Source organism: Homo sapiens, chromosome 4 (genome assembly GCF_000001405.40).
Source record: "Homo sapiens chromosome 4, GRCh38.p14 Primary Assembly".
In the NCBI taxonomy this organism is placed as follows: domain Eukaryota; kingdom Metazoa; phylum Chordata; class Mammalia; order Primates; family Hominidae; genus Homo; species Homo sapiens.
Window position 1 is genome coordinate 139,374,191 of NC_000004.12, and position 18,653 is coordinate 139,392,843.

General features: G+C 35.5%; 1 protein-coding gene across 2 annotated transcripts in view, besides 1 other annotated feature; it reads left to right on the forward strand.

The window, feature by feature from the left end:
• The window catches only part of NAA15 (N-alpha-acetyltransferase 15, NatA auxiliary subunit), an 89,880-nt gene extending 72,686 nt beyond the window's left edge, over positions 1 to 17,194 (forward strand). Inside the window, exons 16-20 of one of the 2 annotated variants that reach the window (NM_057175.5) lie at positions 2,175 to 2,283; positions 4,566 to 4,664; positions 10,642 to 10,788; positions 11,943 to 12,040; positions 13,694 to 17,194. In NM_057175.5, the coding sequence (NP_476516.1) occupies positions 2,175 to 2,283; positions 4,566 to 4,664; positions 10,642 to 10,788; positions 11,943 to 12,040; positions 13,694 to 13,894 (654 nt within the window). In that variant the 3' untranslated portion in view covers positions 13,895 to 17,194. The remainder of the gene's footprint in view (positions 1 to 2,174; positions 2,284 to 4,565; positions 4,665 to 10,641; positions 10,789 to 11,942; positions 12,041 to 13,693) is intronic. The other variant, NM_001410842.1, reaches the window with a different exon arrangement.
• Positions 10,167 to 10,329: a silencer, noted in NCBI's record as "fragment chr4:140305511-140305673 (GRCh37/hg19 assembly coordinates)". NCBI's record gives its function as "represses an EF-1alpha promoter that drives an FKBP-Casp9 reporter gene in an ReSE screen in K562 erythroleukemia cells {active_cell/tissue: K562}" and the evidence as "EXISTENCE:reporter gene assay evidence [ECO:0000049][PMID:32094911]".

The window sequence follows — 18,653 nt, forward strand, 5'->3', positions numbered from 1 at the left end:
TATAAATTTAAAAATTGCATATGATTAAAATTGCCCTTGGAAGTGTCTTAAATTGCCCATTAAGTGCAGTGCAGTCTCATCCTACATGCATTTAACCTAAGTGAACTCAACTCTTCATGATGGATGTACTTTTTTCTTTAAGGGAGACAAAGAATAATATGCATAATGATGGTTAATTCTATCCAGTATTTCCCTCAGTGAACAATGGACCCCAACTGAGTATGAGATGGGAGGCATGACTGTCACAGTCCATTTCAGTTCTTGTGTGCTTATCTTGGTGTGAACATCTTGCTGTGGTGATTGTCAGTTTGGTATTGAAAACATGGTTTTCATACACGTAATACAAAGTATTTATATTTTTATATCTGCCTGTCTTCAGCTTAAAGGATTTTCAAGGGATATTTTGACTTTTTTTTCCTGAAATACTGATTTTAGACTTGCATTTCTGATTACATGATTCCATGTATATATAAAACCTTGTTCTGCACGATGTATGAGTAAATATAGAGTGTAGATTTCTTGTGGTTATCTACGTATATTTAAACACTTAGATTTACCCTGACAAAGTCTTACCTATGAGAAGTAAACAGAGACTGAGACTACCTATCAGAATATCAAACCCAACCCAGATCTCCTTTGGGGGAATATGTTCTTGTTTATTAAAGTTGGAGACAGAATTAATTTCTCTGTTTCCTCTCTCCAAGTTCGAGTACTTGATTTAACTAAATATAAATACTTGTATTGATTTACCTGCCCTATAGTCCTTGTTTCCCTTTGTAATAGCAGTCATATGTCTCTGATAGTAAATTACCCTGGTCAATACACTGACCCTCATTTCAGTCTGTACCCTACTGTACCCTAGAGGCATGAAAGGCATGATACAGCTAGGTGGCAGGTTTGGTTTCCAGTTCTCTGCCTTTCTCTGATACAACTGTTTCTCCCCTTGTACCAGAAATTCCTATATAGTAGAATATGGAGTCATGGGAGCAAGAAGTAAAATATGTACAAATGTGTGGGGAAGTCGTACCTATGAGGGCCTTTATTTTCTCCTCTATCTCTTGGTTCCTGAATCCACAGTTATTAGAGTGGCAGAGCCATATATTAATTTCTGGTTCTGGTTTAGAACATGTATCCTTCAAAAGAAAACATTCCGGCACTGGAGCTGGGCTTTTAATGGGTTATTTTATTGTCCTGTAAGGCCTTCTGCTTTACACACTAGGACGTGGTGAATCCCATAGAATTCACTTCACTGCTTTTCTTTTCTTTTCTTTTCTTTTCTTTTTTTAAATGCAGTGAAACAATTTTCTTGCCCAGAAGCTGTTTTGGTGAAATCACAATTACTCTACTAACAGAGGCACGTTGACCAGATGTGGCAAATTCATTTTCCATTAGGGTAAATTGTTACTGCCTCTGTGATGAGAGAAAGCAAATATAGAATCCAGATGTTTAGTGCCCTTCTGATAAATATGGTGGTGGTCTCCAGCCCTACCTGAGATAAGACAGGGAATAGTCTTGTCTTAATATTCAGTCCAGGAGTAGAATAGTAGCACAATTGCATTATACCTGCCTAGTAATGATTGCAAGTATATAATTACTATGACATTTATGTAATTAATAAAAATTGGTAGGAACACAGTTCTATAAATATTAATATTTTAAAATGCCACCTCACCATTAATATGTCATTTGAATAAATACGAATTCCTGTAGAATTTATAGAACAAAGCAAGACAGAATGGATAGTGTAGTATTTTGAATAGCTTGATTATACTTCACTTTGTTTGAATTATAAAGAACATTCACTCATTCTGTCATGGTCTCTGTAGTCTCCTTTGTACTTCTCCTGTCCTAGTTTACATCTCTTCTTTCTTCCCCCTTGGCTATCTGACCTGTTTCTCTTTCTGTCTTTCTTTCTCTGGTTCTGTTTTATCTACTTCCTTCTTTTTGGATAGTTTCTATCCAGCAATAATAAAGTATCTAGGGTTAAAAATCAGTTAAGAATTCTAGAATTCAAAATCCCCTTTTTTAGGTTATAGGAGGTTAAAATATGACAGTGTTTTTCTGGGTGACTGGTAAGTGATTTTATTTTTTAAAAATAAGAATTTTTAGTAGAATAAAATCACATTCCCCAAGAACCTTAGTTTCATTTGTATAATATCTTTTATTTTTGTTAGGTTGAAACTCCATTGGAAGAAGCTATTAAATTTTTAACACCGTTGAAGAACTTGGTGAAGAACAAGATAGAGACTCATCTTTTTGCCTTTGAGATTTACTTTAGGAAAGGTAGGCAATTAGGGTACAGTGGCCCTGACAAAACTGATCACTGTATTTCTTAGGTATAGTCACCCAACTCTGATAGCCTTACCACTGTACGATTATTTAGCAAATGCCAACGCAGCTTTCTCACAGAAATGCCTGCTATGAACAGAATGTGTAGGGAGATATAATGATATAATCACTTCTTTTAGGATATTAGAATCAATGATAGATGTACATAACATAACTAGGATTCAGGTCAGATGTAATTACCATGTATATGGTTCAAAGAATTGATCATGTGGATAAAATTAGTTAATACACAGAGCTTAGACCTAGTACCTGGTATATAGTAAGCATTAAATAAATGTTAGCTATTATTAGCTATTGTTATAAATAGAAGATAAAATTTTGAGCCTGGATCTTGAAGGATGGATTATATTTCTAAAGGAAAAGATACATAGAAGGCAAGAGTATCTGTTAAGAAAACATAGGAGTGTGTAAATAATGTTGAGGTTGTCTGAATTGCCTGGAGCAGGTAAAAGATGAATGAAGGGTCTTGGTTTCCAGGTTTAGAATGCTTAGAATATATATGTAGTAGATAATAAGATTTTAGAGTACTGAGTTAATATTTTCCAAGTGGTTAATTGAAAAAAGAGTTCGTCACAAAGGTGATGCATATTAAAGGAAAGAGAAACTGTTTAATAAAATCAAAGAGAAGGTTGTTGCTCTAAACAGTATATCTACTAAAGGAAATTGAATAACATGGTACTTCTCTATATGAGTATCCATTTAAAAAGTCATGTTTGGCCAGGCGCAGCGGCTCATGACTGTAATCCCAGCATTTTGGGAGGCCGAGGCAGGTGGATCACCTGAGGTCGGGAGTTTGACACCAGCCTGACCAACATGGAGAAACCCCGTCTCTACTAAAAATACAAAAAATTAGCCGGGTGTGGTGGCACATGCCTGTAATCCCAGCTACTCAGGAGGCTGAGGCAGGAGAATCGCTTGAACCCGGGAGGCAGAGGTTGTGGTGAGCCTAGATCACGCCATTGCACTCCAGCCTGGGAAACAAGAATCAAACTCCATCTCAAAAAAAAAAAGGTCATGTTTATCAAAAGTAAATGATGTTGGGGAAAAGTTGCTATATTATATTATTCCAAAATAGGACACAGAACTACCTATAAATTGAAATTTTATTAATATATTTACATAGGTATATAATATAGAAGTGGCTGGAAAGAAATAGATCAAAAGATAACAGATTGTCTCGATAGATTTTGAGTGATTAAAATAATTTACTGTATTTTCTACTTCCCACAATTATTATAACGTGGAAAATAAGTTTAATAAATAGTCCAATAATTCTCAAACTTTAACAGTTAATACAACTCCCACTTTTAAAAAATTCTTAAATGGAACCCCAAAGTATAAAATTCAAAAGCTGCTCTGCTTAAAGTAGGGAAGGGCAATCTAAAGCCCCATTCAGTTTGCTTCTTGGCTGTGTCCTAACCTCTAAAGGACCCCAGCATTTGGAATCCACTGCAGTTGTACGAAATTGGTAATGACAAAGGCATGGCAGTATTTTTGGCTTTTTTAGTATTGGGGACAAGGGAAAGAGCATTAGGAGAAGAGACTGGGGTTTTGAACTTTGACATTGGGAAAATGGTACCAAATTAGGAAAGTCTTATCAAAGAGGTTGGTTATAGATAAAACTTGGAAGTGGACTGAGTATTCAAGTGCAAATTTCCATTTAACAGGTGGAGATACTACTGAATCTTGGGAAATACAGGGAATGGGTGTGGGGATAGCATAGGGAAAGATCAGAGAATGACTGAAAAGATAACCTTGGTAACTATTCTACCTTTAGAGGAGAAAGGAGTCACAGATTGACAGGAGAGGAACAGTCAAACAGAAGGGAAGCTGTTTCACATGTCACAAAATAAAAGAATACCTTCAAATATACACAATGAAATTTTCTAAGTAGTGGGAAAGGTTGCTTTATTTTGAAATAAAGGAAGTTAGGAAATGAAGGCACTTCAGATTTTCTTTGCTTATATGTCATTAGTTTAAATATTGCTAAATGCCACCTAAATTTTCTACATTTCACAAAACGTTTTTTCTTAATGTTATGTGAAAAATATTAACTAATGTTGCTAAATTTGAGGAAAATCGTTTGCCTCAATCGTATGTTTGTGGTTCTGATGTGATCGACTCTAAATTTACTTTTTCTATTTGTGAAGTCTTGGCCCTCCAAAGGAGGCCTCTTATCCAATGATCAAAATATATCTTACTTTCTCTTTTTATAGAAAAGTTTCTTTTGATGCTACAATCAGTAAAGAGGGCATTTGCTATTGATTCTAGTCATCCCTGGCTTCATGAGTGTATGATTCGTCTCTTTAATACTGGTATGTTTTTGTTTTCCATTACTTAAGTATTTGATACAGTGGTTGATGGTGACGGTATAAGTGGTCTGTACAAGTTTATCATAAACCAAATGATTTTAAAGCTGTCACATACTAAATTAGCTAAGGGAAAAGCAGGGCTTTTTTCTTTATGATGAAGGTTTTTATTTTAAGGATACAAGTATTACCTGATTTTGACATAGAATTATTCAGTCCAGATATTTGAGAATCATCTTTGTTTCTGTTTCTAAAAAGTTACATGTAAGTTGAAATTTTGAACCATATTTTGTTATGTAAAACTTCTTAGTAAATTGTTTTGAAATTGAAGAATCTCTTTGAAATTGACTGTTTTCTCCTTATTTATCTGTATTGTAGATCTGAATTTGCATGAATTATGTTTTCTTAGCACAATTCGAGTCATAAAATTTTTTGTTACTTTAAAACAATTATCTGTATCTTCAAATATTTTGACAATCAGATCAGTTTTATATTAGTTTTAATGTAAAGTAGAACTACAGAATTTTAGACCCTGAAAGGTAGAATGTTACAGTAATTGTCTCTCATTTCATAGTGGGAAAAATCTGAGACCTTAAAAGATGACTTATTCTAGGTAACAGATAGAAACTTAGTAACGCAACAGTGACTAGAGCCCACATCTTCATATTGTTCTTTCTACTGTAAGAACTGTACATTTATAATAAAGTACTCCTGTAGTCAGGTTGTATTGTTGTTTGGATTTTTAAGTGACTGGTGGGGGAGAAATAGAACCTTTAACAGAATAATCTATAGAATTTGGAAATACTATTAACTATCACATTGCCAACTCCATACATTTAAAACTGAGGAAATTAAATCAGGCATCCCAATCACCAAAAAAATGCTAAATTGTCCCAATTGAGAACATCATTTTGGCTGGGTGGAGTGGCTCACACCTGTAATCCCAGCATTTCAGGAAGCCGAGGTGGGCGGATCACTTGCGGTCAGGAGTTCGAGACCAGCCTGGCTAACATAGCGAACCCCCGTCTCTACCAAAAAATACAAAAATTAGCCGGCCATGGTGGCACATGCCTGTAGTCCCAGCTATTCAGGAGGGTGAGGCAGGAGAATCGCTTGAACTTGCAAGGCGGAGGTTGCAGTGAGCCGAGATCACGCCACTACACTCCAGCCTGGGCAACAGAGTGAGACTCCGTCTCAAAAAAACAACAACAACATCGTTTTGACTTTCCAGAAAGATTAGACTTAAATTATACTACGCTTGTCCAAAAACTAATTTGTGTTACAAAAACTGAATTGTAGAAGTGTTTTTCCTCAATTTTTAAAAATTATGAAAGTAATAATGTAACCATATTGTAGAAAGTAAAGGAGAGAATTGCTGTATTTAGTAGTTTGTTTCTCTTTAGTTTTTTTGGGGGGGGGGAGTATGAAAAATAACTTTGCAATCATGGGTCAGAAAATTAAGGATAGAAATAATAGTTTTAATTTATTCTCAGTTAAGATGGAGTATATGTATTTTCAAAATGAAGTATTTTCAAAAATAACATACACACTGTTATATACTTTATACATATTTTCCTGAAAGGTAGTAAAATAACCTAAATCCTTTTGAGTTAGATACTTTCTTTTGAAATACAAATTAAAAGTGACATATTTAAATGTATTTGCTTATAATCAGTATGTAGATTGATTAACATGAGTGTTTTCTTTCAGCAGTTGGTTTCAGAAAATTAAAATACACATGGGCTTAGAATGATTAATAATTAGTTAGAATTACTGAGTATCTATACTGGCTATACCCATTGCTCTTTGTGTTCAGCTGAAATCGTCATCACTTTACAAAGTGATCTAATTTTGACTGACTTTAGGCAATGAAATTAGGTTGTGATTATTTGCATTGGTAAAGATCTGTCTCTTAAAAAGCCTTTAAGAAGTTGGGTAGACTGCTTCATTGCCTTTATTGAAAACGGGTGTACTATAAAGGCATATGTGAAAATACAGATATCCAAATAGTGGCATCTTTGTTATACCCCAAGGGTTTCTTTAACTAAAATATTTGGTACTTTAAAAAAATATGTAATTTAGAAGTAATTTCTCAGGAATACATTTGTCATGTTAAGATATACTGTTGTAACTGCTTCTTTACAAAGAAACCCTCACAGACACCTTTCTGGAGAGTATAGAGGAAAACAGTGCCTCCATACCTATTTCATCAGTTGCGGAAGCTTTGCTGAGTGAATATGGATTTTAGCATGGTTACTGGCACCCTCCAAATCTCTAGAATATGTTGTTATACTAACAATGTTATTACTAAATGCTGCATGCAGTTATTTACCATATAGGAGCACTGTCTTTTTCTTATTATGAGGATGATATATTTAATACCCTTTTAAAGTTTTTTATGATTTTAAATTTTAAAGTTGTAGGACTTAAAACAATTACATTTCTGGTCAGTGCTAAGTAAAAGATAGGTGCTTATATATTCTATTTGTCTTATTATTTTCTTAAATGTTTATATTCTCCTAACTGCTTTTAAAATTAGCACTATTTGGCTGCCTTGATCTACAGTGAAACTTAGGTCTTTTTCCTCTCCCATTTGCACAAACTCATTTTTCTTTGATCTGCAGATATGTTTTTTATACTTATGTATGTCTCCTCCAACCTTCTTTCATAATCTAATTTGTTTATTAAACCTTGTTTAATACTTACTAAATTATTAAATTTTTTATTTTTTTAAGCTTTGTTTAATTTTCTCATTTATTTTGCCGTTTTTGAGTTGTAATCACTTACTCGGTTGTACTATAACCTAGTAGTGAACAGTCATTACCTCACACAAAATAAGAACATTTTTTACCCAAATTATTAACAATGCCAGCTAGCCTGAGAACCCTGTGCAATCCCTTTTGCTAAGAATCAGCCACCTTTTCATTGTGTGTTTTAACCATTGGTGCTTGCTTAATTTATTCATTCTGTTAATAAGCTAATAGCATGAACCAAACATTCCAGTTTAAGATGTCAAAGGACCCAAATCAAAAACCCCTTAGAAAAGGTTTTATATTCCCCTTCTCGCTCATCAGTTATTACTTTTCCTTGATTCTCAAGACTTATTACTCTTTCATGGAAGGTAATTGAGTTAGTAGGGGATTTGCTACTTTCCTGAGGCCTTGATGTTTTTTGTCAGTTTTACCACATTCAAAGGCTTTTTAGAGTTTTTCTCCCCTGCCCACTAGTCTTTAGCAGTAAATGGACATCTGATAATCTGTGACATATGATGTTGCTCCTTTTCTTAAGGGTACACATAAAATTTCATTACACAGAATTCCATAGGACATTCTGGGTTTTACTGCAGTAGAATTTTTTTATCCTTTTTGTAATTGATATTTTCCTGGAGGTTAACAATTCTAGTTTTCTGGAACTGTAATTTCCAGGAAAATATCCAGAAAAGTTTAGGAGAAAATTAGTAGGCCTCAAACTTTTTGGAATCAGCTGTTAGTGAAGTTATTTGCTTCAGTTTTGGTAGAGTTTTTTTTAGCAGTTTTAATTTTTCTGGGAGATTGTTTAATCTGATTAAAACAAGTTAAAAAAAGATAATGAAAACCATAAAAACCCCTTGCCTACCCCTCTCTTCATCAACTATGATACAAACTATGCAGATATTTTTTACATGTAAAGTATCCTGAAAGCATTTCAGGCAAACCAGCAAGGCCTATGTAAATAATTTTTATTGTACAGAAGATACATTCTTTTTGAGATAATTAATGTCATTGCAGTTGGCTGTAACCTATTTTAATAACTTTTTTCTGTTTCCTCTCTATTCCTGCTTTTCCACTGAAAAACAAGTATTGATAGATTGACAAAACCAAGTTGAAAGTACAGCCATAGTAGAGGTTAAACTAAAGTATTTCACTATAGCTCATTTACTTGAACCACCCAGTTTTATAGAATAATAGAAGAAATGCTATTTAACCAACAAAGAGCATGTCAGTGAATTATTCAGCTAATAATTATGTATAGAATATTTCACTTAGAAAATGTTTCCTACTGAGTTCATTATATTTTTTAAACTTAGATTAATGATCCATTAGCAGGATAGTGGGTCATTACCAGCACTCAAAAACCCAAAATAAAAATAGAATAGTGTAGAAAAGATCAGCATATGTTGCACACAGTAAGTGTTCTGTGAAACTTTTGCTTCACATAAGTTATGGATATGGAATATGTATTTGTCGCAGTACAAATACCTGATTAAAGTGAAAATTTGAAAGTCATCACCATAGTTCCCAGCCATAAGGAAAATCTACGTAATGTTTTCACACTATGATAAAAATAGTAACTATGATTTATTGACTACCTATTACATAATTAGCACTTTTACACAGTAGCTTTTCCTTACTGTAAATCTTTTAGATTAGATATCACCCCAGTTTTATAGATCAAGAAATAGGTTCAGAGAGGTTATGACTTATCCAAGCCTGGATCCATACCCAAGTCTAACTGGCTTCAAAGCTCCAGACTCTCTCTTTATACCAAAATGATAATGAAACAAAGTATAACTTGGATTCAATCCAGAGGAATCATCTCTAAATCCCAAGGCCTGGGAATATGATGACAACAGTGCATTCATTCATTTATGTATTTATTTTGAGACAGAGTCTCACTGTGTCACCCAGGCTGGAATGCAGTGGCATGATCTTGGCTCACTGCAACCTCCACCTCCCAGGTTCAAGCTGTTCTCCTGCCTCAGCCTCCTGAGTAGCTGGGACCACAGGCACACACCACCATGCCAGGCTAATTTTTTTATTTTTAGCAGAGACGGGGTTTCGCCATGTTGGCCAGGTTGGTCTCGAACTCCTGACCTCAAGTGATCCACCCGCCTTGGCCTCCCAAAGTGCTGGGATTACAGGTGTGAGCCACCGTGCCCAGCCTATTTATTAATAGGAAAATGCTTTGGTGGTCCTTGGGAGTTTATTATACAGTGATAGCTCAATTTACATAGTTTCTGAAATAAAGGTCAATGACATCAACCATGTTTTCTTTTGTTTTTAATTGAAACGTGTGCCTTACTTGGGTATAGAGGAAGATAGGGAGGGTGAGGAAAATTTGTTGTCTTCAGCACTACATAGTTGGCTGTGATACTATTTACCAGGTGGGTATTCCCAAGTTGCTGCTTTGCAGACCTTAAGGTTGAGGGGGCAGCTCTAGGGGTTTAGAAGGCTGTGAAACTACTTGTTTTGTCATCTCCTTTGCTTACAGTTCCTTTCTGGAAATGAATCTCGTGTTAATAAAATTATTTGAATGCCTTTAGAACATTAGATTGTTCTGCTGACATACATTCTTTTTAATGTGTATTGCTGGGCATGATGGCTCATGCCTGTAATCCCAACACTTTGGGAGGCCAAGGTGAACAGATCTCTTGAGCCCAGGAGTTGGAGACCAGCCTGGGCAACATGGCGAAACCCTGTCTCTACAAAAAAATAGAAAAATTAGCTGGACGTGGTAGCTTGCACCTGTGGTCCCAGCTTCTCAGGAGGCTGAGGTGGGTGGATCACTGAAGCCTGGGAGGTTGACGCTGCAGTGAGCCATGATTGCGCCACTGTACTCCAGCTTGGGTGGCAGTAAAACCTTGTCTGTCTCAATCAGTCAGTCAGTTTATATAGGTAAGCTCTTTTTGCAAATGTTAAATTATCAGTAGGTTTTATCTTGTCTTTGTATATAATTGCCATGTTTCATTGGCCTCATCATTAGGTAATTTAACTCCTATAGGCTGGGTGTGGTGGTGCACACCTGAAGTCCCAGCTACCTGGGGGGCTGAAGTGGGAGGATTGCATGAGCCTGGAAGGTTGAGGCTACAGTGAGCCATGGTTGTGCCACTGTACTCCAGCCTGGGTGATAGAGCAAGACCCTGTCTCAAACACAAACAAAAATAAACTTTTGTAAACTTTATCAGAGTATTCAACTGCTAAGATTTTATTTTTAATTTATTCAGCAGTGTGTGAAAGTAAAGATTTATCTGATACAGTTAGAACAGTATTAAAACAAGAAATGAATCGTCTTTTTGGAGCAACGAATCCAAAGAATTTTAATGAAACTTTTCTGAAAAGGAATTCTGATTCATTGCCACACAGATTATCAGGTAATCACTTTATTTTATCCTTAGCCTTCTAAAACAACTTCAGTAATTTTAATGAATCAACAATAATATAAGGTACATGTTTTTAGAATGGAAGAGGCAGTGTGTATATGTTACATTGTGATCGTATGAAAACAGGCAGCTTAAATAAGCTTCCTAAGCTGGGCACAGTGGCACATACCGGTAGTCCCAGCTACTCAGGATGCTGAGGCAGAAGGATCACTTGAGCCCAGGAATTTGAGGCCAGTCTGGGCAACATAATGATACCCTGTTTCAAATCAAAACAAAACCAAACATATATATATATAATATATATATATATATAATATATATTATATATATATGCGCTTCCTATACATTTTTTAATTTCTTACGGCAAAATAATCACTACAAATCAAAGTCAGTGGTCTCTTCTGGTTCAGCATTGGCATTACAAAGAAGCAGGTGTAACTAAACTTAAATGTATATCATAAAATGAAGGTAGAGCTTTCTTTTATTTCTTTTTTCATCATTGGGCTCTTAAAATTCACTCAGATAGGACCATCGTCTTCCATTTCTCATTCTTATGTAGGTATCAGAGTTGACAGTGCTAAACACCTGAAATTATCTTCACAGTTTGTGAGAAATCTAAGTCAAGGGTCTGTGCCAATGAGCCAAAATCTGACCTTTATGGGACCATGTGGGTAGTACTTTTCAAATACTTGGCTTAAGCCCAGCAGCTTTGTATACCTTTGTGGAATCCTGAATTCAGCATTTTGGCTCACACTGTTGAGATAGGATAGTCCCCCAACCTCCACATTATTCTGCTTATTTCAGAAAGAAGACTATCATGGTCCTACCACAAAAATACAAGTATTATTAGAATGCTTGTGTTTCTTCATAGTCTCCTTTACTGTGCATGTGTTGCATATACATTCTATTTTATTGGGTAGATATATGTGGTATACCTCTATTGTTCTCTTTCTTTGGATGGTTAAGCTAATCCCCTTAGCATTATTATTTTTTGAATAACAGTATCTCAAGTAGCTGTTCCCATTCTTCTAATAAAGTGCCACACCCTCTGCATATATATCTTGTTTGCCTTTTATATTTAAATAAGTAGAGGATAAGATGTTGGTTTTACCTTGAAATAAATTTCCTATTTCCCTCTCATTTAGCTGCCAAAATGGTATATTACTTAGATCCTTCTAGTCAGAAGCGAGCTATAGAGTTGGCAACAACACTTGATGAATCTCTCACTAACAGAAACCTCCAGGTAAAGAGTTTTTCATAATCTCTCTGTAAGAATACTTAACTACTTTTTTCACCAAGAGAAATAATTGGGTATTTATACACACTGTTTTTTAAATCATTATGAATCTGGGTCAGAAACAACTTATCTTAAAATTTATTTAGGCTGCTTGGCATTCAGTAACTAGTTTCACATCTGTAGCTTGGAATAACTTTTTAAGAAATATGTTTTAATAAAATCATATACATTCCATCGTCATTTTTGGATTTCATTTCATATCTCTGCATTTCTGAGCAAGCAGTGGTCTCAGTGGAGATTCTAACATGTTTAAAATGTATTTTGGCTAGGCGTTTTGGTTCATGGCCTATATTCCCAGCACTTTGGCAGGCCAAAGTGGGCAGATCACTGCAGCTCATGAGTTCGAGACAAGCCAGGGCAACATAGTGAGACCCCATCTCTTAAAAAAAAAAATCAGTCAGATGTGGTGGCACTGTATTCCCAGCTACTTGGGGGACTGAGATATGAGGAACACTTGAGCCTGAAAGGTTGGAGCTGCAGTGGGCTGTGATTGTGACGCTGTACTCCAGTATGGACAACAGGGCAAGACCCTATCTCAAAATAAAGAAAGATGTATTTACTAGGGGCTAAATAAAAATACTTATTTTGTAACTTGTAATACAATATGAGATTAAGTTAAATAAAAATTAATATGGGTGTATTGTAAAATACTGTAGTTTAAACTAGAAACAAAGGGATAGCTACCTCATGTTATAATTTGCCAGATAAACATGTATATGCTGAAAGACAGTTATTAATAAATATATTCATTTAATAGCAAATGAAGGCAGTATCTTTAAGAAAGAAAAATTAGACTTGTTTGTTTTACCATTTAGATTAGAACCTGGATTTAAAGTTCTAATCTAGGTCCTTTGTAACCTGGATTTAAGTTGCTTTGTAACCTGGCAAAGTTTGTAGGGATTTTTGCATGTGGAAACTAAGTAGCTTTTCTAAGTGAAAATATTAAGAAAGCAAACATGAGAAATGCAAATCAACATGAATCAACAAAAAAGATAAGAAGCAGACTTACTTAGGGGTTTGGTTGAAAGAATTACTCATTTTCATGAACTAATTTTTCTTGCAAATAATCACTTCATGTTTGAGACACTCTTTTCTGCTTAGTTATTGGATGTGCCTTAAGTTGCTCTTTAATTTGAACACAATGTTGAATACAGTGTTTGAGTTTGCTGGCTGGCTCTAAGCTTTCAAAAATATTAGAAGGCATATGTGCAGTAATTGGTATTGGCATTGTAAATCTAGATGTTTATACCCAGGGCCAGGCTAGGCTGAGGTAACATTGCTGCCTAAGGTCATACGCTTGCTGAGAGTGAGTGGCTTTTTAAATGTAGCACTCCATATACCTTGCTTGCCTCACCATAGTCCCATTCCTGTTTCTGCAGTCATCCCTGTTTAGCCTTTTGTATAAATCCTGCAATTCTGGAGAAATGGTTAAATTAGGCCTTGAAGAACATTCTAATAGAATGCATATGCAGGAGTAAATAGCTAAATATGTGTATTTATTTCTTATTTTAGAAATCTCTTGCTGTTGAAATGTCTAATAAATTCCCAGTAAGAACCTTTTTTTGACCAGTTACAACATGACTTTTTTTCTTTCCTTAGACATGTATGGAGGTATTGGAAGCCTTGTATGATGGTAGCCTAGGAGACTGTAAAGAAGCTGCTGAAATTTATAGAGCAAATTGTCATAAGCTTTTCCCTTATGCTTTGGCTTTCATGCCTCCTGGATATGAAGAGGATATGAAGATCACAGTTAATGGAGATAGTTCTGCAGAAGCTGAAGAACTGGCCAATGAAATTTGAACATCACTAAACAAGCAAATGGAATGACTTTGGACCATATCTAGTATATAATATTTTTGTCACGCACCTGCTGCATTGCTCTAACTTACACAGAATGAGAGGAGTAAATGTTCTTGCCTTCAAATAGTGTTTTACGTTTTTTATCCTGCTGAAAAAGTATATATAAAATATCTAACATTACAGGATAGAGGTTCAGTTTCTTAAAAAATTAAAGCTGCTAAAATTGAGTGGTTAAAAAAGATACCTTATCCTATTCCTCCCCACCCACCCATGTTTTTAAACTAATTTATATAAAATCTGGAGGCTGTTACAGCTAACAAAGCAGGTGTGTGGCAGAAATATTACTTTAAATTTGTCTTGTGAGATTTTACTATATCTCAGACAGCATAAATGCTGTTTTAGCACTGGATTCTTTCACTGAGCACAAAGAGTTGTTGGGGCTTTAGCATCTGACTGATTTTGTTACGGGGTTGATTCTGACCATAGGAAGTATGCAATGTGAATCACTATTTACAGAGAAACCTACAACAGATGCTTGATGTTGTAGAAACTGGGACATATAGATACCAAGCAAAATTATAAGAAACCTATAAGGTGTTCAATACGCTTGTGTTTCCAAAATTCACTGTACATGATCAGTTTGGTGTTCTTGTACCACAGTTTTTAACTGAAGGAACCAGTTGTAACAGTCTCAATTTTAACTAAAACTTGAAGAACTAAAACAACAATGCAAACCTTTCAGCATTGTTTGGCCAAACTTGTTAAAACTGTAATGCAAGAACCAAATGCACTGTGATGTGGCACCAACTAATTAGCAAGCATGAATTTTTCACCCAAGAGTGAAAAAAGGAAAATCTACCATGGCTTGAAGTTAAAGAGCAGAACTCCTGACTACCATTCTATGACTGATCAAAAGACTAATAGTTAAAAACCTCAGCAGGCCTTGTTCACGATATGCAGAAAAAAAAGTGCTGCAGTTTAGATACCTCTGGAATTTTTCCACAGTGTCACAGGTTTGTAATACTTGAAGCCCTACATTTCTAAGAATATATTTCTTGCTCAGTTGTTTCAGGCAAGCCCAAGACTTTGTAATTTTTAAAGGGCCCAAGATTTTTTTTTTTTTTTTTTTTTTCAAATAACAGACCAGCTTCTTTTTCTTGCAGTTACAGATGTAATTTCCTTTTTGTTGTCAAACATAAGGTACCAAATATGATGCAATAAATTGTTTTGAAAAACAGTTGTGTGAATATTTCAACTAATCTGTGTTGGGCTTCTGTGAAATACACAGGTGGAAACAGAGGTGCAAGCCAGAGGCAATGTAATATGCTGTAAGGCTAGTGCAGATGGGAGCTTTTTAGAAGGGGCTAAGTGCTGGTGTCAGGGAAATTCCATAATGAAGTAGAATGCTGCTCCTGCATTAAGATTTCATTGAGGGCAAGGCTGGTGGCAGGTACTATGAATGTAATTCATAATTTAAAAGGAAAACTAAAAACTATTTTGATTTGGGAAAATGAGCCTTAATTTGTTAAACCTATACACTGAGAACTAGCCTCAGGCTTAATATTCTCATTGCATTTGCAAGATCTGAGCAAATAAGATTAAGTAAAACAAATCAATTGTATATATAATTGACCTTTTTGTGGAACATGTAGTTTATAGAAAGTATACTCTAAAGGGAATTTGCCGAAGACCTTTTACTGATTGAACAGTTGTGCTACAATCAACTTTTCATAGTACATGACCTGCATTCCACATCTCAGTCTAACAGTTTAGTAGTGATGTAAAGAGAAGTACAAACCGAACTCCAGTGCTTTGTTATGTTTTATTAACTGGCCCTGTCTCAGGAACATCTTAACAGATGGCAAAAAAACAAAAACTTTTTTTCAACTCCTATGAGTGGCAACTGAAGTTCTTATTGTTGGGAAAGAACACTAGTCCTACCTCTGCCACTAATGAGGTGTTTGGAGGAGGTACCAGCCATATAATAGGGGGTGTATGTGTGAATTTTGTTTAAACTCTACTGTATATTGAAATGAAATTCATTTATTTGTCTTGACAATGTTCAAATGATGTAGATTGTCTTAGAATGAATATTCATAAGTACTCAGAACTCTTAAGATGCAGATGCCACCCGTGAGGAGCTAAATTCCTAATGTGTATTGTATTCCAACCCAATTTTACTGGAACTATTGAATAAATCTTTTATTTTCTTTCAGGTTTACTTGATAGTGGATACATTGGTGTCAGAGGACCTTGACTGGGTTCATTTTATGTCCAGACATCACCCCTGAAACACTGTACTGTACTATCTTGCTCTGAGTAGTATCAACTGGATCGTCTCATATTTGCCTCATTCATCCTATTAATTTCAAATGATACTGTGGGGGAAAAACAGGGTTAGAAAAACAAGTGGAAAAAATGGAGTGATGTTGTAATCTAAACAAGTGCCTTATGTTTATTGCTAAGAACTGGTGTTACCAACCCTTTTGAGAAGAAAGGGTCTCTTGACCTGTATTAACATAGGAAAGTAAAGTTCTTTTTGTTTTTCTTTATATTCAGCTACTCTTGTCATTTCTCGTTGAAAAACTAAAATCTGACTAGGTTAGTTTACTCAGCTTTAATTAGATAGTTGAGTCATATATTTTCAACATTTTTCTGTATCGTATTTATTATGCACAAAAATAAAGTGTGATCTCTAATAGCATGGCTAAAGGTAATGCCAATATTAGTGAATAGCTTTGCTGTGGGCTTTATCAGGCCCTTGTTTTTCACAGTGTTGTTTGTACTCCATGGTGTATTGCTATTAGAGCTGTGAAATGAAAGCTGTGACTTTATGAAGAGATCAAAAAAAGTGTGGTCCAGATTCAGGTAGGTTGTGGTAAGTTCAGGGAAGTCTTGTATGATTTCTAAGAATATTTCAGTTACCATGTATAGTATTTGGGAAAAGCTGTAATGTAAAATATTGGACTTTGTTGCAAGATAGGTATATACTTGTGTCAGATAATTAAAGCCTTAAATTTTGAAATGAATCTTTGAGATTTCAAAGAAAGACTGACCTTTCAAATAGAAGGCGGTCTTTCTATTCTAGCTAATGCCCCACTTCTTTAAGTTATAAACAAAGTTTCATGATACCATTCTGCTATCATCTAAACTTTGCTGAACTCTACTGCCAACCTACATTAAAAACAAAGTCCCACGAAATGGCTGTGTTACACCATAGTGAGCAGAAACTTAAATTTTGTTCTAATTTTGATGGTTGAAAAATTTCAACCTGTAGCAATAAAACATTTTTGGAAAAGATTACTGAATTGCACTTTTACCTTTTAGTATGCAATCTGAGATCGTTGTTGAAATTAAAATATTGGTAATGTACAGGAGGTTCTGGAGAAAATAATGCTGGTGTTTTTTGTTTTGTTTTGTTTTTGAGACGGAGTTTTGCTCTTGCTGCCCAGGCTGGAGTGCAATGGCGCGATCTCGGCTCACCGCAACCTCAGCCTCCTGGGTAGCTGGGGCTACAGGCATGCGTCACCACGTCCGGCTAATTTTGTATTTTTAGTAGAGACGAGGTTTCTCCATGTTGATCAGGCTGGTCTCTAACTCCCGACCTGAGGTGATCCGCCCACCTCGGCCTCCCAAGGTGCTGGAATTACAGGTGTGAGCCACCGCACCCAGCCAATAATGCTGTTTTAATAAATCAGAAGAGTATCTTTTATGTACTGTCTTGGTTATATACTATATTCAAACCTGCTGCCTCCATCAGGACACACCTCCTCTTTTGTTGTTGCTGTTTTGTTATAGAGATGGGATCTCACTATGTTGTCCAGGCTGATTGTGAACTCCTGGCTTCAAGCAATCCTCCCACCTCAGCCTCCTGAACAGCTGCGATTATAGGAACAACCTACCATGCCCAGCTTAGGACACACCCCCTTTTATGAAGATAGGGAGAGGGAGCAGCATATTATAGGAAAGAAGATCTAAAAGTTTCTAGTGCCTCAGTTTATCCAGTTGCCTTTGAAACAATGCTCTCTTGGGATTGTAACCAGAAGAAAGAAAAAACTGGTACTATATAAATTAGAACTTTTACTAACTCGTAGTCTTAAATTCTATGTGCCAAAACCAAAATATAGACTTTGATTCAAGGGTGCTTGTACCGAAAGTAAAGTTGCTACTTGGCAATCTAACAAAACTATACTGTGGTTCTTACATTTTAAAAATTAGGCCTTTGTCCCTAGTTTAAGGGTCTGCATTATCTAATAAAAGTGGTATAATTCTTCCTAACTGAAAAAAAGTTGGTAGTGGTGAAGATGTGATGGAAAATTTTCTCTGTGATACAAAGGTTTCTGCTGTTGCTTAATCTTCAACTAGATCTCAATAAGTACAAATTACTCTCTCAATTAGAAACAAGGTAGGAAGTGAAGGGATTTTTGGAGTATGTTCTGGATCCCAAGGCTTGCTTTCTGCTAATACATTTATCTTCTGATTTAGTTACCATGCATTGTCTAACAAAAACAAGAAGCCTCTCTTCTTATTCTATGGCTATCTTCCCAATCTACCATGGTTTCCCAACTTTGGGCTTTTATAAGTACTGCTTGTTTACTTTGATCTGCAAATTTACCAGGTTCATTGTCCAGTGATTAATGCCTCATCACAAATGGGATAGGAACTGGTTTCTTTCTAAAGTGGTCTTCCAAAGCTATCTGATATTTCTTCCTCAGTAGTGAAAAATTAAATGGGCTGCCACTTCTCATCTCTTTTCGAA